The sequence below is a fragment of the Homo sapiens genome, chromosome 11 (assembly GCF_000001405.40).
Source record: "Homo sapiens chromosome 11, GRCh38.p14 Primary Assembly".
Classification (NCBI taxonomy): Eukaryota; Metazoa; Chordata; class Mammalia; order Primates; family Hominidae; genus Homo; species Homo sapiens.
Window position 1 is genome coordinate 108,238,729 of NC_000011.10, and position 24,840 is coordinate 108,263,568.

Consider the following 24,840-nt stretch of genomic DNA (forward strand, 5'->3'; position numbering starts at 1 on the left):
TTTTCTTTCTTTCTGAGCCATGTGGCTTTTATTTTATTTTTGTGCTTTATTACATTGGCTAGGACCTCCAGTGTGATTTATTGTGGTAAAATATATATAACATTTATAATTTTAACTTTTTTAAGTGTACAGTTGTGTAGTATTAAGTGCATTCATATTGTTGTGTAATCATCTCCACCATCCATCTCCAGAACTTTTTTTTCTATACTCAGTAAACAATGATTTACCATTTTCCCCTCCCCTATCCCCTGGCAGCTACCATTCTACTTTCTCTCTCTATGAATTTGGCTATTTGGGGTACTTCATTTTTATGGATTGAATGTTGTGTCCCACCAATTATGTTGAAATCTAACTCCCAAAGGGATGGTATTTGGAGGTGTGGGATTTAGGAGGTAATTAGGTCCTGTGGGTCCAGCCTTCATGGATGGGATTAATGCCCTTATGAAAAGAGGCCAGAGAGCTAACTTGCTGTCTTTCTGCCATGTGAAGATACAGTTCAAAGTCAGTAGTCTGCAGCCCCAAAGAGGGCCCTCACCAGAAACCCACAATGCTGGCACCTGAGCTGCTTTCAGCCTCCAAAATTGAGAGAAATAAATTTCTGTGGTTTCTAAGCCACCTAACCTATAATACTTTGTTATAGCAGCCTGAAGTAGAGGACTCCTATAAGTATTTGTCCTTTTGCAACCTGCTTATTACACTTACCAAAATGTCTTTGAGGCTCATCAGTGTTACAGCTTTTGTCAGAATTTCACCCTTATTAAAAACTGAACACTATTCTGTTCTGTGTATATGCCACATTTTGTTAATTCATTCGTCCATTGGTGGACATGGGTTGTTTCTACCTTCTGATTATTGTGAATAATGCTGCCGTGAACATGAGTATACATCTCCTGAGTTTCCTGCTTTCAGTCTTTTGATTATATACCCAGAAGTAGAATTGCTAGATCATGTGGTAATTCTATATTTAATTTTTTAAGGAACCAACATCCTGTTTTACACAGGAGCTACGCCATTTTACATTCTCACCAGCAGCCCACAAGGGTTCCAGTTTCTCTACATTCTCACTAGCACAACTAATAGAAAATGAGGATTCCTCTTCTAGGCCTTGAAAGTGCTGCATAATTTTGCTTCTTCCTACCTGTCTAACTTAACTAAAGCGCTTCTAATTTCTGTGCTCAAGCTACACTGTCAATTATTCAGTTTCTCAAACCTAGTGGTTTCCATTTTTTTAAATTGACTTTTATCTTTTAGAGGAATTTTAAATTTACAGCAAAACGGAGTGGAAAGTCCACTGGACACACACAGCATGCCCTACTGTCAACATCTTGCACCAGTGGTACATTTGTTACCATCAGTAAACCTATGCTGGGACACATCATTATTATCCAGAGTCCAAGGTTCACTTTTGGTGGTACATATGCTATGGATTTTGACAAGTGTTTTGACATTTTTAAAGATCTTTTTCTGTATCTAATGAGATGGTCATATTTTTTTTTCCTCTGGGAGAGAATGGTAACAATTTTTCACTATTACAGAATCATACAGAATACTTTCACTGTCAGAAAAATCCTCTGTGCTTCACCTTTTCATCTCTTCCTTCTTGTAAACTGTGGGAACCATGGATCTTTTTGCTATCTCCATGGTTTAGCCTTTTCCAGCATGTCATATACAGTTGTGCGTCTCTTAACAATGTGGATATGTTCTGAGAAATACATCATTAGGCAATTTCTTTGTTGCGTGAACGTCATAGGGTGTATTTATACAAACTTAGATGGTATAACACTACGCACCTAAGCTATATGGTATTACTGCTCCTGCACTACAAACCTGTGCAGCATGTTACTATACTGAATACTGTAGGCAGCTGTAACACAATGGCAAGTATTTGTGTCTCTAAACATATATAAACATAGAGGAGGTACAGTAAAAGTATAGTATAAAGGATAAAACATGGTACACCTGTCTAGGGCACTTAACCATGAATGGAGCTTGCAGGACTGGAAGTTGCTCTGGGTATGTAAATGTGTGGTAATGTAAAGGCCTGGGATACTATATACTACTGTAGAATTTGTAAACTCTTATTCTGTACCAAATTTAAAAATTTATGTTTTTCTTTCTTCAATACTAAAGTAACATTAGCTACTATAACTTTTTTACTTTATAAACTTTAAAAATGTTTAAACTTTTTGACTCTTTTGTAATAACACTTAGCTTAAAATACAAATGCATTGTACAGCTGTACAAAAATATTTTTTCCTTATATACTTATAGATGTTTTTTCTTTTGTTCTATAAGCTTTTTAAATGAAATTATTATTACTCTATTTTTTCCTTTAAACTTTTTTGTTGAAAACAAAGACACAAACACACACATGAGCTTAGGCCTACATAAGGTCAGGATCATCAGTATCACTGTCTTCTGTCCCTGCATCTTGTCCCCCTGGGAGATCTTCAGGGACATGCACAGAGCTTTCATCTCCTATGATAATGGTGCTTTATTCTGAAATACCTCCTAAAGGACCTACCTGAGACTGTTTTACTGTTTTGTTTTGTTTTGTTTTTTAAGAAGAAGAAGGAGGAATATAGTATAAAATGGTGATAAAAAGCATAGTAGAGTAAGTACATAAACCTAACATTTTACCAGTAACTTAGTCATTTATTATCATTATCAAGGTTTATGTACTATACATGATTGTATGTATTATACTTTTATATGACTGGCAGTGCAGTGGGTTTTTTTTACACAAGTATCACCACAAATGCTTGTGAGTAATTTCTTGTGCTATGACATCACTAAGTATTTAAATAGGAATTTTTCAGTTCTGATACAATCTTACGGTACCACCTTTTCATATTGCCATTTGTCATTGAATAGAATGTTGTTATGTAGTATGTGACTGTGGTTGGAATCATAACAGTATGTATCATTTTCAGATTGCCTTCTTTCATTTAGTAATATGCATTTAAGGTTCCTCCATGTCTTTCTCTTTCTTTCTTTCTGTCTTTCTTTCTTTCTTTTTTTTTTTTTTTTTTTTTTTTTGAGATAGGGCCTCACTCTGTCACCCAGGCTGGAGTGTGGTGGTGAGATCATGGCTCTGCAGCTTCGACCTCCTGAGCTCAAATGATCCTCCCACCCCCTTCCAAGTAGCTGTGACCACAGACACAAGCCATCACACCCTGCTAATTTTTCATTTTTAGTAGAGATAAGGTCTTATTATGTTGCTTATGCCAGCAGCTTGAACTCAGCCTCCCAAAGTGTTGGGATTACAGGTGTGAACCACCGTTCTCAGCTCCTCGATGTCTTTTTATGGCTTGATAGGCTGAAGTGGGAGGATCACTTGAGCCCAGGAGTCCAAATCTAGCCTGGGCAGTGTAGTGAGACTTCCGTCTCTTAAAAAAACAAAAAACAAAAAAAAGAGGACCAAAGTTACTGATATTAGAAATGAAATGAGATCTAATTGCAGATCCTATAGATATTCAAAGGATAATAAGGAAACACTATGAACATCTATTAATTTAAATGGGCCAGTTCCTCAAAACCATACATTATCAAAAGTCATCCAATATAAAATAGATAATTTGACTAGTCCCATAACTATTAGGAGAATAAATTGAATCCATAATTTAAAGCCTTTCATAAGACAAATTGGGAACAAGATAAGGATGTGCACTCTCACCACTCCTTTTCAACATTATGTTGGAGGTTCTAGCCAGGGTAGTTAGACAAGAAAAATAAAAGGCATACAGATTGGAAAGGAAGAAATAACACTCCCCTTTGTAGATGACATGATTGTCTATATATAAAGTCCCAATATACACAAGTATAACATTGTGAATAATGTTATTTGGGGACTGGGCACAGTGGCTTACACCTGTCATCTCAGCACTTTCGGAGGCTGAGGCAGGTGGATCATCTAAGGTCAGATGATGGCTTCCTCTAAAACAGGACAGATTTACTTGTAGCCTATTGATTATAAAAAGCTTGAGGTTTCTCTGTTATAACTCAGTCCACTGTTTTCGCAGTGTCAAGTGTCCCATTTCACCTTGCCTTTGGTACTGGGGAACTGATGCAAAAATGAAGGTAGTCTGGCTACCATCATTACTGGGAGAAATAAACTGTCCTTTTTCTCTTATCAGGAATCTCAGGTTTCCTGCTAGCACCCAGGAAACTGTCATGCTAATTTGTTAGGTTACAAGTAGATAAAATCTCAGCCAGGCACAGTGGCTTATGCGTGTAATCCTAGCACTTTGGGAGGCCAAAGCAGGTGGATCACTTGAGCCCAGGAGTTCAAGACCAGCCTGGGCAACATGGTGAAATCCTGTCTCTACCTAAAATACCAATCAGTTGGGTGTGGTGGTGTGGGCCTCTAGACCCAGCTACTTGGGAGGCTAAGGTGGGAGGATTACCTGAGTCTGCTGAGATTGAAGCTACAGTGAGCCGTGATCTTACCACCACACACCAGTTTGGGTGACAGAGTAAGACTCTACCTCAAATAAATAAGAAACAAACCAAGCAGAGTAAAATTTCATACCCTTCATAGGTCTCAACACATTTTTTGCATATTATTAATCAAACAGTATTATTATTTTAAAAAACTGTGGAGGCCAGGCCCAGTGGCTCATGCCCATAATCCCAGCACTTTGGGAGACCAAGGTGGGTAGATCACTTGAGGCCAGGAGTTTGAGACCAGCCTGACCAACACGGTGAAACCCCATCTTTACTAACAGTACAAAAATTAGCCAGGCATGGTTTTGTGCGCCTGTGGTCCCAGCTACTTGGGAGACTGAGGCATGAGAATCACTTGAACCCAGGAGGCAGAGGTTGCAGTGAGCCAAGATTGCACCATTGCACTCCAGCCTGGACGACAGAGCAAGATTCTGTCTCAAAAAACAGAAGAAAGAAAAACCCATGGAGCATGTACTGTAAGTGCTTTCTTAGGCCTAGATGATGGAACAGAGGCTTAGAGAAGTTAAGTAATGTTTCTGCGACCTGGCTCTTAAACTGGTGCTCTCACAGCAGTTTATAGTTATTCCTGTCTTAAAGGCATTTTATATAAGATAAAATTAAATACTGATGGAGTACTTTTACTATGTTAAAAATAAATTAGTGCAGTTTTAAAATCCTTTTTCTGTATGGGATTATGGAATATTTAAGTTAAATTGTAACATTTAATACATTTTGATTTTTAAAAAATCATGACTAATAATTTTTTTTTTTTTTTAAGAATTGTTCTCTGTGTACTTCAGGCTCTATCTGAAACCTTCACAAGATGTTCATAGAGTTTTAGTGGCTAGAATAATTCATGCTGTTACCAAAGGATGCTGTTCTCAGACTGACGGATTAAATTCCAAATTTTTGGACTTTTTTTCCAAGGCTATTCAGTGTGCGAGGTAATCTAATCTCTTTTTCTTTTGTTTTGTATTGAAATACTTTTGATCTTGCAAGACCATGTTTTAGACTCAGTAACTAAAAATTCTACCTTAAAATAAAACATTGATCCATCATAACAGAACTAGTGGATTCCTAAAGAGACAACCAAGTCCAACACTTTCTGAATATCCAATATGCAGAACACTACGTGAAGTTTTCAAGGGGGAGATGTGTCTTGCTGATGTTCTGTTGACCAGGAAAGTTAAATATCCTCTAAGTCATTGCATTTCCCCCATTTTGAGGATGGTTTTAATATACCGAGAATAAAATAAAATAGGAAAATATTTTGGAAGTATTACTGTTGTACATTAGTATGGCAGTACTCAATGTATAATGTGAAACATTTTATAAATGGTGTTACAAATCAGTTTTGTTTATTTTTATACAATGTTTTAGCAGGAGGGAGAGCTAACAGAAGTGGTCTCTTAACACCAAATAAGAACTAATTTTTTGTCAGTGTGAAGTAATGCTGTGATTTTTTTTTTTAATGAATAGTTTTGAAATTAAGACTACTGTTTGAAAATTAGGGTTTTGTTTTTTTTTCTTTCAGCATACCACTTCATAACTGTTCAGTTTGTACAGTTTGTTCCCCCTGTTATACCCAGTTGAGCTTGTTTGTTTCTTCACAGACAAGAAAAGAGCTCTTCAGGTCTAAATCATATCTTAGCAGCTCTTACTATCTTCCTCAAGACTTTGGCTGTCAACTTTCGAATTCGAGTGTGTGAATTAGGAGATGAAATTCTTCCCACTTTGCTTTATATTTGGACTCAACATAGGCTTAATGATTCTTTAAAAGAAGTCATTATTGAATTATTTCAACTGCAAATTTATATCCATCATCCGAAAGGAGCCAAAACCCAAGAAAAAGGTATAAAGGAAATGTTTACTGTTTTGAATTTGCTTCTTCATTCAAACATAGAAGTCTAAGTATAAAATTAGTGTTCTTTAGGAGGATATGACTTTCCTCTGGATTTCTCTGGTTGATAATGTTACTTAGCCATGAGAATGTTTTTCATAGAGTTTTTAGAATTTGAAGCAGTGGTAGCAGATTCTGTTATGCCTTTCTATTTGTTCAATACAATATTAGGTATTATGGGAAATACAAAAAAATCTGAGACATTGTTCCCTCTAGGAGCTACTTATGCATCAATACTTAGATACTAAGGGGTCTGACACAGACTGTAGGGCAAAAGAATTTAAAGAAAGCAGGATCTTGTTTATCCACCTATTACTTTTATTAGAAGATAAAATACGTAAATTGGACTAAAACCAGTCAGATTATTCAGCTCCTGAGGAAGATACATACATATTACTTTAATAGGAATTTGAGGCAGAAACAGGGAAATTGCTGCCTTAAGCCTCATAGTTACTCTAGGGCCCTGTTTGCCCTAGAGTATCACTTGTTAAGGAGAATCACTTATTCTCCTTAATTCCTTCATATATGTCCTATACCAAGAGAGTATTGCCCAGAAGGTATAGTGCTTTTCTGTAGTTAGGAACTTTATTGGCTGGAACTGGAGTTTCCTCTTGCTCTGTCTATGATTGCCTTTGGGCTTATACTAGCCTTTGGACCAACTCATCATGGCTAGTATAGTGACTTTCTTAAAACAGCATACCACATTGAGTAATAGCAGCTATAATGGAGGAAATGTCTTGTAGCCACTTTTTTTTTTTTTTTTTTTTTGAGACAGAGTCTCACTCTGTCGCCCAGGCTGAAGTGCAGTGACGCAATGTTAGCTCACTGCAACCTCCGCCTCCTGGGTTCAAGCAATTCTCCTGCCTCAGCGTTCTGATTAGCTGGGATTACAGATGCCTGGCACCATGCCCAGCTAATTTTTGTATTTTAATAGGGATGGGGTCTCACCATGTTGGCCAAGCTGGCCTTGAGCTCCTGACCTCAAACCATCCACCCGCCTCAGCCTCCCAAAGTGCTGAGATTACAGGCATGAGCCACTGTGCCCGGCCGTGTAGCCACTTTTTATCAAAAGTAGCTGTGTATTTGTTTTATGGGCTCTTCTAATAAGTATATCTAGATAATATGTAGCCCATGAAACTACTATAAGTGAAAGAATAGTGACTTTTAATAGTTTTTCATCTTTTACTCACCTCTTATCTCCAGGATGAAGATCAGGCTTATTAGGAGGTGATATGATATGTTTAGGGATTTAGTTAACTGCATATTTAGGGTGAATTTAAAATTGGCAGGATGATGAGGATGCCAGAAAAGCTAATGTAGTTTCAGACTACTTTAATAGATTTTGTAGTACCTTGTTTGTGAGAAATAATAGACCTTTTGTTTCGCATACTAGTCAAGCCACAGTTGGATTACCATGTTCACCAGATTTTGTATAGTCAGCATTTTAAGTTGACTGGAATGTGTCTTGGGAAAGATGACTGAAATGGTGAGAAGTCTGAATAATATGTCATTTTTACACTAGTTGAAGGAACTCGTAATATTTTTCTCTTAGGCCAGAAAAAGGCATACGGAGAACTTGGTCCTCATATGAAAGAGGGAACATATTAATTGTATTTGCCTCAGGTGGGAGAATAAATTGGAGAAAGACAGATTTTAGGTCAGAATATGGAAGAAATTTATAAGAAACACAGTTATCTAAATGTAAAATGGACAGTTATGAAATAGAGTTTGTCAAGGATCTTGTCAGAAGAGGCATTAGTACTGAATGGAAGGTTGGACCAGGTGTCTTCTAACGCTGATGCAGCTTGACAGCTGAATAATTTTGTGGGAGCTAGCAGTGTAAACAGAGTACATACATAAAAATTACATTTTAATTTTTTGGATTACAGGTGCTTATGAATCAACAAAATGGAGAAGTATTTTATACAACTTATATGATCTGCTAGTGAATGAGATAAGTCATATAGGAAGTAGAGGAAAGTATTCTTCAGGATTTCGTAATATTGCCGTCAAAGAAAATTTGATTGAATTGATGGCAGATATCTGTCACCAGGTACAGTAAGTAGGTCATGTCACATTTAGAAATTTCCTGTTAATTTTTTTTTTAAACTGGGCATTTTGGGCTTTTAAAACCTGTGTTCTCACAAAAAGCCTATAAAATGACTCTGTACATGCAACTATTCCTTTCAAACTATCAGAAATATTTGGAATTACCCTTTTAACTTAAAAGTTAATGCTTTTGCAGATATTTGAAAACTAACAATGAACTTTTTCATTCTTAAATGATTGTCTCTAGGAAATAAGGTGACCCTAACCCTAATGATTCGATTCGACTCGACTGTATTCTACAAAGTGCTGGGATTACAGGCATGAGCCACCAAGCCCAGTCTGTTTCTTTTTTGCAATTAAGCTAGAGTTCACATAGCATAAAATTCACGATTTTGAGTTGTACATTTCAGTGGTTTTTAGTATTTTTACTATGTTGTACAACCATCATCACTAATTCTGGAAACTTTTTTTATTTTATTTTTATTTTTTTGAGATGGAGTCTTGCTCTGTCACCCAGGCTGGAGTGCAGTGGCACAATCTCCGCTCACTGCAACCTCCCTTTCCCGGGTTCAAGTGATTCTCCTGCATCAGCCTCCCGAGTAGCTGGGACTACAGGTGCCTGCCACCACGCCCAGCTAATTTTTGTTTTTTTAGTAGAGACTGGGTTTCACCATATTGGCCAGCCTAGTCTCAGACTCCTGACCTTGTGATCCTCCTGCATCGGCCTCCCATAGTGCTGGGATTACAGGCGTGAGCCACCGTGCCCAGCCCAGAACTTTTTTATCATCCCAAAAGAAACCTCATCCCTTCTTAGCATTCAGTCCCAATTCCCTGCATCTCCTAGATCCTGGCAACCAGCCACTAATCAATCTTGGTTTTTGTGGATTTTCCTGTTTGGGACAGTTCGTTTAAATGGAATCATACAATATGTGAGTCTTTTGTGTCTGGTTTCTTTCACTAAGCATAATGTTTTCAAAGTTCATGTTTTACCATGAATCAGTACTTCATTCATTTTTATTGCTGAATAATATTCAGTTGTATGGATATACTCCATTTTACTTACCCATCCATCACCTGATGGCCTAATGTTTCTTAAATAAAACTCTGTTCCCCAGAGATTTGGTTAACATCCTGAGTAGTAATTTCACTCTGTCAAATATTTTCTTAATATTTCTTAAAATTTCTTAAATTTAAAAACTTGAATCCCTTTGAAAGTAAAGGTTTTTGCTTTACTTTTAGATTTCTTAGTGCTTTTAGTAAATGTTCCCAGGAAATAAAACTAATGCATTACTTGGTAATACCTGCTTTCTAAAGTGCCATTACTGTCATGCAAAATGTTTGTTTCTTACTATGTTATCAGATTTATATGTTTCTGTAATGTATTACTCTTGCTTTATGAGTTCCCTGTATCTTCATTTCAGAAAGAATTTTTTTTCCCCCTAATGAAATATTAGAAGACAATAGCAATGAAAAAAGTGTATTTGGCCAGGCGTGGTGGCTCACACCTGTAATCCCAGCACTTTGGGAGGCCAAGGCGGGCAGATCACCTGAGGTTGGGAGTTCAAGACCAGTCTGACCAACATGGAGAAACTCTGTCCCTACTAAAAATACAAAGTTAGCTGGGCATGGTGGTGCAAGCCTGTAATCCCAGCTACTCGGGAGGCTGAGGCAGGAGAATCACTTGAACCTGGGAGGTAGAGGTTGTGGTGATACGAGATCGTGCTGTTCCACTCCAACCTGGGCAACAACAGCGAAACTCTGGCTCAAAAAAAAAAAAAAGAAAAAAGTGGATTTATTTTTATTTTACAGGTTTTTAATGAAGATACCAGATCCTTGGAGATTTCTCAATCTTACACTACTACACAAAGAGAATCTAGTGATTACAGTGTCCCTTGCAAAAGGAAGAAAATAGAACTAGGCTGGGAAGTAATAAAAGATCACCTTCAGAAGTCACAGAATGATTTTGATCTTGTGCCTTGGTAAAGTGTTACCATTTTCTCATTCAGTGTCATTTTAATCTCTTGTATGTTATTTTTCAGAAAACTTTCAGTGGAATCCTTTCATCTCAACCAGAACTAAGTCATTTGTCTACCCCCAAACCTATTACTAGCAAAGGGATATGTGATTGCCATGACAAATGAGATCAATCATTAATGGCTCATTTGCTTGGGCCAAGTGCAGGGCCACCTATTTTAATCATATTGTCATAGCAAGTTAAGAAGGAGGACTGGCTCTCTGATAGGCAATTAGAAGTGTGCACCTCATGGAATTCACTGAATTGTACGCTTCAACAATAGATTTTAGCATACGTAGCACCTTCTAATAGAATTAGGAAGAAGTTAAAGATAATCTTAAGAAATCACAGAATAATTTTGACCTTATGCCATGATAAAAAGTTATTTTCTCTTATTTTCTATCTTCTTTATTCTCATGTAACGTTCACATATATTTAAGTAATCAAATAAATTATGGATACTTTGGAATCCCAAAATATTAGATCTGGTAAGGATGTTTAGAATTTATCTAGTTCAGCCTGTTTGCTTTACTGAAAAGAAACTGAAACCCAGAGAGGTTAAGCAACTTCTGTAGGGACAGAGATTTATAGATTATAGTCAAACTCGTGATCAGTGCTCTTTTGATTACCATGTTGATGGAATGTTTAAGTGTAAGTGACTTCTGGGGAAAAGCATATTGATTTAGATACCTATTGCTTAAGCTCATTTTTATATAGTTAAGAGTAGCTATTTAAGATTCTTAATTTGTCCTTTTAGTCAAGAGTAATTTATTGAACACCTGTTATGGGCTAAGCGTTAGATATACAGAGATGAATAACATAAGACTCCTATTCTTAAGTATCACACATTCTAGAGAATACACAGCAAATGTTTATTGGATTAACTGAATTAATGTAAAGGAAAAACAGTTTTTTGGGTTTCTTTGTTTTCCTGTTTTAGAGGAATCGTTTGGTGACTAAAGAGCAAGGATGTACAAGATAACTCAGAAATAAAATATTGCTAAATATATATATATATATATATATATTTTCTGAGACGGAGGCTCACTCTGTCACCCAGGCTGGAGTGCAGTGGCACAATCTTGGCTCACTACAACCTCCACCTCCCAGGTTCAAGCAGTTATCCTGCCTCAGCGTCCTGAGTAGCTGGGATTCCAGGCATGTGCCACCATGCCCGGCTAATTTTTGTATTTTTAGTAGAGACTGGGTTTCACCATGTTGGCCAGGCTGGTCTCAAACTCCTAACCTCGTGATCTGCCTGCCTTGGCCTCCCAAAGTGCTGGGAAACCACCTGGCCCAAATATTGCTAATTTAATATCCTTTAAAATATTTGTTTAAGGGAAACTTAACAGCTTACCCAGCTAGCCAAACGTTGACAATTTTCCTGCCAATTTAGGAAGTAGGACATAGTAACTATTAACAGCCAGTTTATTTTTAGAGTACTATGGAAATGATGGTGATTCTCTAATTAGGATATTGTAAGAGTACCATGTCTATATATTTCCTTTTAGTTTGTTAATGTGATGGAATAGTTTTCAAATTATCCTTTTTTTTTTTTTTTAGGCTACAGATTGCAACCCAATTAATATCAAAGTATCCTGCAAGTTTACCTAACTGTGAGCTGTCTCCATTACTGATGATACTATCTCAGCTTCTACCCCAACAGCGACATGGGGAACGTACACCATATGTGTTACGATGCCTTACGGAAGTTGCATTGTGTCAAGACAAGAGGTCAAACCTAGAAAGCTCACAAAAGTCAGATTTATTAAAACTCTGGAATAAAATTTGGTGTATTACCTTTCGTGGTATAAGTTCTGAGCAAATACAAGCTGAAAACTTTGGCTTACTTGGAGCCATAATTCAGGGTAGTTTAGTTGAGGTTGACAGAGAATTCTGGAAGTTATTTACTGGGTCAGCCTGCAGACCTTCATGGTAAGTTCAGCATGCATTATGTCTGACTTACAGATAAACACACACAGACACACACACACTCACATATCCCTGATCATTTTCATAGTTTGTTACTTCAGTTAAAGATGTCAAATTCTATTTCAGATGCTTTTCTTGTTTGGCCGAGAAGACTTAATAAATGCATAAGTGAATTTAGTTTCAAATGTTGACAAATTATTAAAGACTAATGTTAAGGAATTTCTTTTTTAGTTAAAAAATTTTTAATTGATCTATAATAGAGTTATATATTATCAAGGTACATGTGATAATTTGACACACTCATATGACACACTCATGTAGGGTGATGGGATATCAGCACCCTACGTATCTTTTCTTCATGCTAGGAACGTTTGAATTATTCTCTTCTTGCTGTTTGGAAATGTACAATAGATTAATGTTAACCGTAGTCACCCTACTGATGTATCGGACACCAGGTCTTATTCCTTCTAATTGTATACGTGTATCCAAAAGACTTTCTTTAAAGAATTATGAAGAGTTTAAATTTCTTTTATGTGCAATTTATCATTATTTATTAAATAGCCATGTTTAAATTGTAGTACTATGCACTGTTAATAAACGAGCTATTTTTTAATCAAGAATCTTCCCAAATGTAATCAGACTTTTAACAGTTTTTATGTTCATTTAGTCACCTTAACTAAATGTATGTGCCAGGCACTGTCCTGATAGATAAAGTCTTTGCCCCTCCAATAGCTTGCTTTTCACAATTGTCCTTTGTTTTGTTATAGTCCTGCAGTATGCTGTTTGACTTTGGCACTGACCACCAGTATAGTTCCAGGAACGGTAAAAATGGGAATAGAGCAAAATATGTGTGAAGTAAATAGAAGCTTTTCTTTAAAGGAATCAATAATGAAATGGCTCTTATTCTATCAGTTAGAGGGTGACTTAGAAAATAGCACAGAAGTGCCTCCAATTCTTCACAGGTAATTTAAGTTCATTAGCATGCTGCTGTTTTTTTTGTTTGTTTTATCAGGCTCTCTCCACTTATTTGATGCCAGATGGCTTTATTTTATAATAATAATGCAGAATTTCCCAGATCTAACCTTAATTATTAAATATTATGTTTGTTTTTACAGTTATCTGTGTCTTTATGCCTGATTGCTTCTGAAATAAAGGGTTGTCTCACTGTGAGAATATGGGGGATGTGCATGAAAAATGCACATATAATTCTTTGAGCATTTATGTGTTCCTTTCTGATTTTTTAAATAAGTAAGTCCATATATTTGAGTCATGTAGATCCTGGATCCTTTCTCATAATGGGAGTGTCTTTTGGGTAAAAGATGTTTTATGAATGAGGTGAGGAAACGAGGAAGACAAAACAGGATGTAAGCACTAGGATAAAGGAATGGAGTCCCTCGTCCACTTAACCTTTCCACAGATTGGTAATTGGAACCAAATGATTGGAGAGCAGACCTCCGAATGGATCCAATTAAAGTACTTTTGCTTTAATTTTACAACCTTTTATTTATTTCAGAAATAATGTTAAACATGCTGTTTCTAAACAGTATTGGAAATGATAATAACAATGGTTGTCCTCCTTAAATTGTCCTTTTAGATATTAAGAAATTTAGTATAGATGAAAGCAATTTTAATCTAGGATCCAAATTTTAGAAGTCAAGATTTATAGCTAAACATGGATGTTAAAGTTTAAAGTATTCTTTACATGGCTTTTGGTCTTCTAAGTGAAGCTTTTTGTTTTTCTTTGTAGTAATTTTCCTCATCTTGTACTGGAGAAAATTCTTGTGAGTCTCACTATGAAAAACTGTAAAGCTGCAATGAATTTTTTCCAAAGCGTGCCAGAATGGTATGTTATCTAATAATGCTCTTTATCATTTTAAGCTATAGCTTTAATTACAAAGATGATAATTTTAGCTGGGTAGTAGCTGCATCTTAATAATTGTAAACTAAATTGGTCCAAAAAAATTGCAACTGTTAGCCAGGGAAGAGGTTGTTTTAATTCAGTGATTGTAATCTATGTTATATAACATTAGACCAAGCTTACTATTTTTTAATGCTGTATAGTATAATATGTGACAAGTGCCAATGAGAAAAACTGAATGGTTATGCTGGGAAATTAAGAATATAAAATTTATATGAAATAAGTTCTTAAAGATGTTACCCATTTCTGTACATCAACTATGATTTGACTATTTGTTAGCTTTAAAAACTAATGATAATTGAAAACAAAAATAAATCTAAACCTGAGTTTAGTTGATTGACTCAAGAGACTTAGATTGTATTGCTGTGACTGAAAATGACTCACTGGCACAAACATTCCTTATCTCCCTCAAGAGGGCAAAAGGATGCGTAACTGCTTACCTATACCAGATGTTAAAGGTTTTTAAACCTATGCTCTTTACTTCCTCTGCTTGGTGAAAAAAGGGATATGTTTGCAGACAATGTTATGCTTAACATTTATATCTGGTGTTTTTAAAAATACTTTCTGAATTTGCCTTTGAGATTGTAACTTGTATTTTTTCTCTATCTATTAGTAAAATTTGCTACTGAATAATGACATTTGATATAAGTAGGTCTCAAAGTCCGAAGAAGAGAAGCATTTAAAAGAATAATCTATTAATTATATAAGTAGTCTTTGAATGATGTAGATACTAGGTTAATGTTTTCCTTTGTAATATATTGCTAATACATATAAGGCAAAGCATTAGGTACTTGGTTTATATATTAAAGATCTTACTTTCTTGAAGTGAACACCACCAAAAAGATAAAGAAGAACTTTCATTCTCAGAAGTAGAAGAACTATTTCTTCAGACAACTTTTGACAAGATGGACTTTTTAACCATTGTGAGAGAATGTGGTATAGAAAAGCACCAGTCCAGTATTGGCTTCTCTGTCCACCAGAATCTCAAGGAATCACTGGATCGCTGTCTTCTGGGATTATCAGAACAGCTTCTGAATAATTACTCATCTGAGGTGAGATTTTTTAAAAAAAGAACTAAGCTTATATATGATTCAACTTTGGTAAACTGTTAGGAAGGAGAAATAGGGGCAGGAAAAACAGCAAGGATGGTGGGAGGCTTCATTTTAAAAGCAAAGTGGCAGTAAAGGGCTCTAAATTGGACAACTTAGCATAATTAAAGGAAAACTCAAGAATAATAATTTGAGTACTTCCTTTGTACTGGAAATTATGGTAGACATAAAATAATTCCTTGTGTAGGTTAGTGAGGAATAGTAAGAGTTTGAGCATAGGGATTATATGATGAAAAAAACCTCTAAATACAAAGGAGGGAAATGTTACAGTAATAGAAAAGAACACGATGTAAACAAATCTAATAGATTTTGGTGGCATCTGAAGAGAGATGAGTGATTAGTAAAGACAATAAATGGACTAGCAATTATTTTAGACGTCATCTAGGAATTTCCTTTAGCCTCAAAATCACGAGTTCTCTTCATGTATACTATTCTCTTGCCAAAACTTGCATTTTTTAAAATGTGAAATGTCTTTCTACCTATTTCTGTGTATTCAGATCATCCACATGTGAAAATCCTTGCTAACGCCTTTCTTAGAATCTCAGAAAGTAAGATTCTAAGAATTTTTATTTTTGAGACAGAGCCTCGCTCTGTTGCCCAGGCTGGAGTGCAGTGACGTGATCTTGGCTCACTGCAACCTCCGTCTTCCAGTTCAAGCAATTCTCCTGCCTCAGTCTTCCGAGTAGCTGGGACAGGCGAGTGCTACCACGCCCAGGTAATTTTTGTATTTTTAGTAGAGATGGGGTTTTGCTATGTTGGCCAGGCTGGTCTTAAACTCCTGACCTCAGGTGATGGACCCGCCTCAGCATCCCGAAGTGCTAGGATTACAGGCGTGAGCCACGGTGCCTGGCCTAATAATTTTTCATCTTTTAATTTCATAGTACTTAATGTTTCACATTTTTAATGGCAGTTAGCATCTTCTTTATACCATGGATATTTACATATGGTTTGTATACAAATATCTCTTGAACTATAACTCTTAAACATAAACTCTTAAAAGGGCATACATGTTTTTATTTATCTTTATATCCTCCACAGTGCCTTATTACATGGTAAATGATTAAATAAAGCCTACAATCCATTCAAAGGAGTGAATTCGGTAGCCAGGGAAAATGACTTGAGGACATGAGAGGGGACAGTGTGCCTCTTTATGATCTTTACTGACATTCTTCTGCACCACAATTGTAACCACTTTCATTACAAAGTAATTTAGTTTTGTATATTTTCTCCTAAAATGCCGTTTCCTACCCTGTAGGAACAAAAAAAATCTGAACATTTTGTGTGTAACTTAGCAGATTCTTAGTAATTCTATAAAATTGTCTAAACTTTTTTTTTTTTTTTTTTTTTGAGATGGAGTCTTGCTCTGTTGCCCAGGCTGGAGTGCAGTGGCCTGATCTCGGCTCATTGCAACCTTCGCCTCCTGGGTTCAAGCAATTTTCCTGCCTCAGCCTCCTGAGTAGCTGAGATTATAGGTGCCTGCCATCACGCCCTGCTAATATTTGTATTTTTAGTAGAGACAAGGTTTCACCACGTTAGCCAGGTTGGTCTCGAACTCCTGACCTCAGGTGATCTGCCCGCCTCGGCCTCCCAAAGTGTTGGGGTTGTAGGCGTGAGCCACCATGCCCGGCCAGCTGTCAAAACTTGTATCTACTAGAAAAAATGTTTTATGCTATTCTGTGGAGTCTAAAAAGCTGAATAAGTCAAGGTTCCTATTCTTCAGAAGCTTAAAATGTCATTTTAATGTCTCTTTATATGACTGTAATTTCTACTTGTGTTCTAAGACTTACAGTCATTTATTTGCCTGTGAAGCTTTTTTTCTTTTCTTTCATCCCTACCTCAAATATTTAAGGGCCTATGTGTACAGTACACCCTCCACCCTAAGATGATATATCCTGCTTGGCCATCAGGAGATACTTAGGCTATTTTTCTTGAGAATCCTGGTTATAATTCTACAGTGATCTCCTAGTTGTTTTTAGAGCTATCCAGGATATGCCACCTTTAACTCAGTTAACTGAACTTTTGTTTTTTAATATGTATGTAGAATTTGTTCTTACAAAAGATAGAGTATACTAAATTATTTATGAAATATATATATTTTTATTTGTGGTTTACTTTAAGATTACAAATTCAGAAACTCTTGTCCGGTGTTCACGTCTTTTGGTGGGTGTCCTTGGCTGCTACTGTTACATGGGTGTAATAGCTGAAGAGGAAGCATATAAGTCAGAATTATTCCAGAAAGCCAAGGTAGGAGAATTTATACTAATAAAGTTTCGGATAAATTTGAATGAAATGTATTCCTGTGAAAATTATTACATTTGTTTGGAAGACATTAAATTTTATGCAGGTTAACCCTTTCTCTTTTATTTATGTAATGTGAGAAGAAATTATACTATGTATTTTTTAAATTGTTTTAATTGTTTAATTTTTAATTATTATTATACTTTAAGTTCTGGGGTACATGATGTAGAGCATGCAGGTTTGTTACATAGATATACAGTGCCATGGTGGTTTGCTGCACCCATCAACTCGTCATCTGCATTAGGTACTTCTCCTAATGTTATCCCTCCCCTAGCCCCCGACCCCCTGTCAGGCCCTGGTGTATAATGTTCCCCTCCCTGTGTCCATGTGTTCTCATTGTTCAGCTGCCACTTATGAGTGAGAACATGCAGTGTTTGTTTTTCTGTTCTTGTGTTAGTTTGCTGGGAATGATGGTTTCCAGCTTCATCCATGTCCCTGCAAAGGACATGAACTCATCCTTTTTTATGGCTGCATAGTATATCATGGTGTATATGTGCCACATTATCTTTATCCGGTCTATCATTGATGGGCATTTGGGTTGCTTCCAAGTTTTTGCTGTTGTGAACAGTGCTGCAATAAACATACGTGTGCATGTGTCTTTATAGTAAAATGATTTATAATCCTTTGTGTATATACCCAGTAATGGGATTGCTGGGTCAAATGGTATTTCTAGTTCTAGATCCTTGAGGAATTGCCACACTGTCTTCCACAATGATTGAACTAATTTACACTCCCACCAACAGTGTAAAAGCATTCCTGTTTCTCCACATCCTGTCCAGCATCTGTTGTTTCCTGACTTTTTAATGATAGGCTGTAAGCATGAAACTCTTTCTTATCTCTTGGTAGTACTCTGTCACTGGTATGATTTGCAAGAACAGAGTATAAGATTTGCCATTTTAAAAAATTGTTAATGAGTTTTGCTTATACTGTATGACTACGTGGAACTTCTAAAAACATTTCATTTTTTCTCTTAAGTGCACTTTATTTTTTATTTTATAGTATGTCCAAGATCAAAGTACACTGTAAAAAGCAATACTAAACTATAATTTTAACTGGAATTTGCATTTTTCCTTCTATTCACAATAGTCTCTAATGCAATGTGCAGGAGAAAGTATCACTCTGTTTAAAAATAAGACAAATGAGGAATTCAGAATTGGTTCCTTGAGAAATATGATGCAGCTATGTACACGTTGCTTGAGCAACTGTACCAAGGTAAGATTTTCTTCTTCTTGTTTTGTTTTTTGAGATAGGATCTTTCTCTGTCACCCAGGCTGGAGTGCAGTGGGATTGTCACAACTCATTGTAGCCTTGACCTCCTGGTTTCCAGCAATTCTCCTGCCTCAGCCTCCCAAGTAATTGGGACTACAGGCATGTACCACCTAGCTAAAATTTTCTTTTTACTTGAAAGTGTAGCCTATGCAGGGAATTGATCACTGGTTGGTGTTACTGTTTTGGTGTCCACTCGTAAGTTTATTTTTTACTTTTATTTTTCTTTTTTTTGAGACAGTCTCTCACTCTTTCACCCAGAGTGAGTGATCACATCACTGCGATCCAGCAGCCTCGACCTCCTGGGCTCACAGCAGCCTCGACCTCCTGGGCTCAAGTGATTCTCCCACCTCAGCCTCCTTAGTAGCTGGGACTACAAGTGTACACCACCATGCCTGGCTGATTTTTGTATTTTTGTAATTTTTTGTATTGATGGGGTTTTACACATTGCCCAGGCTAGTCTCAAACCCTGGGCTCAAGTGATGCTTACATCTCAAAGTGCTGTGATTACAGGTGTCAGCTACCATATCTGTTCACATTCATAAGTTATACAAATTGATTTAAAATTCAGTTGAATGGTACATAAAGGTAATATCCAGACAAATAAGCAATAGGAATCTGAGTTTCTCATGAAACTAATTTTATAATTTCAGGAATTTTTCTGAGATTGCCTTATGACTTTTATATACAACCATATAGATGACTCTTTTATTCCTGGGACACTTTCATTCATTTAATAAAAATTTTTTGACCCAAACTATGTGGTATGCGTAGCGGGGCTAGTGAGCAACACAACAATAACTCCAGCACATAGTTTACTTTCTTTTGCTCAGATCACCTTACATAACATTTGGTAGAAAGAGTGCTACTGTGTTTAATCTTTGTTTTTATCTGCAGCAGCCTGTGGGATAGCCAAGCCAGGCCCCAGAGTATTGATAATAATTGGAAATATATTTCAAACCTAGTATTAGGTACATGGCCATATAGCAATATTATCAACATATTTCTTGGTTTTGTAATGTGTTTTTCCTCCTTTTTGGTGTAAGTGGGGAAGGAGAAAAGTAGAATAAACTCTAACCTATAATTATAGCTCACTTATCTTTAGGGTCAATAGCTGTTACTTTAATGTTGTTAAAGCACAATGAAAGATGTACAGTATAGTTATTATAACTCTAAGAAAAGATGTGTTTTTGAAGCAGCATATATATTGGCCCTAATAGTAAACTATTTATCTACATTCCATTCAAGATAGAGAAAACACTGTCTGCCAAGAATAATTGTTTTTATTTCTTTGTTGCTTGGTTCTTTGTTTGTCTTAATTGCAGAAGAGTCCAAATAAGATTGCATCTGGCTTTTTCCTGCGATTGTTAACATCAAAGCTAATGAATGACATTGCAGATATTTGTAAAAGTTTAGTAAGTATGCTTCCTGTTTTGCTATCATATTTTGATTCTAATAGGCATAATTTTTTTGTTGAAATATCTTTGTAAATAAGGATGCATCTCACAACATATAGCTCTTAACATTTTTACAAATGTGGAAATTAAGGCCAGGTGCGGTGGCTCATGCCTGTAACCCCAGCACTTTGGGAGGCCGAGGTGGGTGGATCACAAGGTCAGGAGATTGAGACCATCCTGGCTAACACGGTGAAACCCCGTCTCTACTAAAAATACTAAAAATTAGCCAGGCGTGGTGACATGTGCCTGTAGTCCCAGCTACTCGGGAGGCTGAGGCAGAATTGCTTGAACCTGGGAGGTGGAGGTTGCAGTGAGCGAAGATCGTGCCACTGCACTCCAGCCTAGGCGACAGAGCGAGACTCCATCTCAAAAATAAAAAAATTTAAAAAATTAAATAAAATGTGGAAATTAAATAATTTGTCTTGTGGGGAAATATACCTGATTGCTTCTTAATATCAATACCTAGCATAGTAGTGCCTGCCTTTAGTTTCTCAATAAATAATACATTTAAAAATTGGGAACGAATCATCCAGGCTCACAGCTATATCTGCGCAACATTGTACCAAAATTTAAAATAATTATTTGTTCTTTAAAAGTGACCAAAAATCTTGCCAGGCAAGCAACATATTCTTATTGTAGTATTTATTTTTCTTCCATACAAATGGGCTTATGCCACATACATTCTTTTTTCTGGAACACTGCCGGGCATACAAAGTAGTTATTGAAATATCTATTGAGTGAAAACATATTCTGTAACTTATTTCCATTTTATGACACATCTTAATCATTTTCCATGTCACTGTACTTATTTTATAAGCTATCTGCTGTTATACTTTATTTATTTAGCAGTGCATGGTATTCTATTGTGTGGTGATAGTGAATAGTATATATGTATATGAAAGCTTATCTGCTCTTTTTTTTTTTTTTTTTTTTTTGAGACAAAGTCTTGCTCTGTTGCCCGGGCTGGAGTTCAGTGGCACAATCTCGGCTCACTGCAGCCCCCACCTCCTAGGTTCAAGAGATTCTCCTGCCTCAGCCTCCCAAGAAGCTGGGATTACAGATGTGTGCCACCACAACCGGCTAATTTTTGTATTTTTAGTAGAGACCAGGTTTCACCATGTTGGCCAGGCTGGTCTAGAATTCCTGACCTCAAATGATCTGTCCACCTTGGCCTCCCAAAGTGCTTGGATTACAGGTGTGAGCCACCACACTGAGCCAAAAAGCCCATCTGCTCTTAATTAACATTTTAAGTGGTTTCTAGTTTTTTGGGTTACAAAGACTTCTGTGGTACAGATTATTGTACTTTTGTCTATTTGTATTTGTGTGTATGATGGATGTAGGATAATTTCTAGCAGTAGACTTGCTTGTTCAAAAGGAATGTGAATTTTACTTTTTGATGGATATTGTCATTGTCCTCCAAAATAGTCATACCAATTTAGGCATTTTCCTACACCCTCTTTGGGTAACACTTTAGGTGTTACAAAACTTCTTAATATAAGAAATAATTTTGAGGGAGGAGCCAAGATGGCCGAATAGGAACAGCTCCGGTCTACAGCTCCCAGCGTGAACGACGCAGAAGACGGGTGATTTCTGCATTTCCATCTGAGGTACCGGGTTCATCTCACTAGGGAGTGCCAGACAGTGGGCGCAGGTCAGTGGGTGTGCGCACCGTGCGCGAGCCGAAGCAGGGCGAGGCATTGCCTCACTCAGGAAGTGCAAGGGGTCAGGGAGTTCCCTTTCTGAGTCAAAGAAAGGGGGGACGGACGGCACCTGGAAAATCGGGTCACTCCCCGAATACTGCTCTTTTGCGACGGGCTTAAAAAACGGCGCACCACGAGATTATATCCCGCACCTGGCTCGGAGGGTCCTACGCCCACGGAGTCTCGCTGATTGCTAGCACAGCAGTCTGAGATCAAACTGCAAGGCGGCAGCGAGGCTGGGGGAGGGATGCCTGCCATTGCCCAGGCTTGATTAGGTAAACAAAGCAGCCGGGAAGCTCGAACTAGGTGGAGCCCACCACAGCTCAAGGAGGCCTGCCTGCCTCTGTAGGCTCCACCTCTGGGGGCAGGGCACAAACAAAAAGACAGCAGTAACCTCTGCAGACTTAGATGTCCCTGTCTGACAGCTTTGAAGAGAGCAGTGGTTCTCCCAGCACACAGCTGGAGATCTGAGAACGGGCAGACTGCCTCCTCAAGTGGGTCCCTGACCCTGACCCCCGAACAGCCTAACTGGGAGGCACCCCCCAGCAGGGGCACACTGACACCTCACATGGCAGGGTACTCCAACAGGCCTGCAGCTGAGGGTTTTGTCTGTTAGAAGGAAAACTAACAAACAGAAAGGACATCCACACCAAAAACCCATCTGTACATCACCATCATCAAAGACCAAAAGTAGATAAAACCACAAAGATGGGGAAAAAACAGAACAGAAAAACTGGAAACTCTAAAAAGCAGAGCGCCTCTCCTCCACCAAAGGAACGCAGTTCCTCACCAGCAACGGAACAAAGCTGGATGGAGAATGACTTTGACGAGCTGAGAGAAGAAGGCTTCAGACGATCAAATTACTCTGAGCTACGGGAGGACATTCAAACCAAGGGCAAAGAAGTTGAAAACTTTGAAAAAAATTTAGAAGAATGTATAACTAGAATAACCAATACAGAGAAGTGCTTAAAGGAGCCGATGGAGCTGAAAACCAACGCTAGAGAACTACGTGAAGAATGCAGAAGCCTCAGGAGCCGATGCGATCAACTGGAAGAAAGGGTATCAGCGATGGAAGATGAAATGAATGAAATGAAGCGAGAAGGGAAGTTTAGAGAAAAAAGAATAAAAAGAAATGAGCAAAGCCTCCAAGAAATATGGGACTATGGGAAAAGACCAAATCTACGTCTGATTGGTGCACCTGAAAGTAACGGGGAGAATGGAACCAAGTTGGAAAACACTCTGCAGGATATTATCCAGGAGAACTTCCGCAATCTAGCAAGGCAGGCCAACATTCAGATTCAGGAAATACAGAGAATGCCACAAAGATACTCCTCGAGAAGAGCAACTCCAAGACACATAATTGTCAGATTCACCAAAGTTGAAATGAAGGAAAACATGTTAAGGGCAGCCAGAGAGAAAGGTCGGGTTACCCTGAGAGGGAAGCACATCAGACTAACAGCGGATCTCTCCGCAGAAACTCTACAAGCCAGAAGAGAGTGGGGGCCAATATTCAACATTCTTAAAGAAAAGAATTTTCAACCCAGAATTTCATGTCCATCCAAACTAAGCTTCATAAGTGAAGGAGAAATAAAATACTTTACAGACAAGCAAATGCTGAGAGATTTTGTCACCACCAGGCCTGCCTTACAAGAGCTCCTGAAGGAAGCATTAAACATGGAAAGGAACAACCGGTACCAGCCGCTGCAAAATCATGCCAAAATGTAAAGACCATTGAGACTAGGAAGAAACTGCATCAACTAATGAGCAAAATAACCAGCTAACATCATAATGACAGGATCAAATTCACACATAACAATGTTAACTTTAAATGTAAATGGACTAAATGCTCCAATTAAAAGACACAGACTGGCAAATTGGATAAAGAGTCAAGACCCATCAGTGTGCTGTATTCAGGAAACCCATCTCACGTGCAGAGACACACATAGGCTCAAAATAAAAGGATGGAGGAAGATCTACCAAGCAAATGGAAAACAAAAAAAGGCAGGGGTTGCAATCCTAGTCTCTGATAAAACAGACTTTAAACCAACAAAGATCAAAAGAGACAAAGAAGGCCATTACATAATGGTAAAGGGATCAATTCAACAAGAAGAGCTAACTATCCTAAATATATATGCACCCACTACAGGAGCACCCAGATTCATAAAGCAAGTCCTGAGTGACCTACAAACAGACTTAGACTCCCACACATTAATAATGGGAGACTTTTAACACCCCACTGTCAACATTAGACAGATCAACGAGACAGAAAGTCAACAAGTATACCCAGGAATTGAACTCAGCTCTGCACCAAGCAGACCTAATAGACATCTACAGAACTCTCCACCCCAAATCAACAGAATATACATTTTTTTCAGCACCACACCACACCTATTCCAAAATTGACCACATACTGGGAAGTAAAGCTCTCCTCAGCAAATGTAAAAGAACAGAAATTATAACAAACTATCTCTCAGACCACAGTGCAATCAAACTAGAACTCAGGATTAAGAATCTCACTCAAAACCACTCAACTACATGGAAACTGAACAACCTGCTCCTGAATGACTACTGGGTACATAACGAAATGAAGGCAGAAATAAAGATGTTCTTTGAAACCACCGAGAACAAAGACACAACATACCAGAATCTCTGGGACGCATTCAAAGCAGTGTGTAGAGGGAAATTTATAGCACTAAATGCCCACAAGAGAAAGCAGGAAAGATCCAAAATTGACACCCTAACATCACAATT

At 37.5% G+C, this 24,840-nt stretch overlaps 1 protein-coding gene across 15 annotated transcripts in view; it reads left to right on the top strand.

Annotated features, from left to right (window-relative positions):
• ATM (ATM serine/threonine kinase) overlaps positions 1-24,840 on the top strand; it is a 146,036-nt gene that overhangs the window by 15,662 nt on the left and 105,534 nt on the right. For 14 of the 15 annotated variants that reach the window (XM_011542840.4, XM_047426977.1, XM_006718843.5 and 11 more), the window contains 11 exons: positions 5,225-5,390; positions 6,060-6,298; positions 8,236-8,399; positions 10,205-10,374; positions 11,973-12,344; positions 13,109-13,303; positions 14,089-14,184; positions 15,086-15,311; positions 17,487-17,612; positions 18,753-18,878; positions 20,258-20,347. In XM_011542840.4, coding sequence (XP_011541142.1) covers positions 5,225-5,390; positions 6,060-6,298; positions 8,236-8,399; positions 10,205-10,374; positions 11,973-12,344; positions 13,109-13,303; positions 14,089-14,184; positions 15,086-15,311; positions 17,487-17,612; positions 18,753-18,878; positions 20,258-20,347 — 1,970 coding nt within the window. The remainder of the gene's footprint in view (positions 1-5,224; positions 5,391-6,059; positions 6,299-8,235; positions 8,400-10,204; positions 10,375-11,972; positions 12,345-13,108; positions 13,304-14,088; positions 14,185-15,085; positions 15,312-17,486; positions 17,613-18,752; positions 18,879-20,257; positions 20,348-24,840) is intronic. The other variant, XM_011542844.4, reaches the window with a different exon arrangement.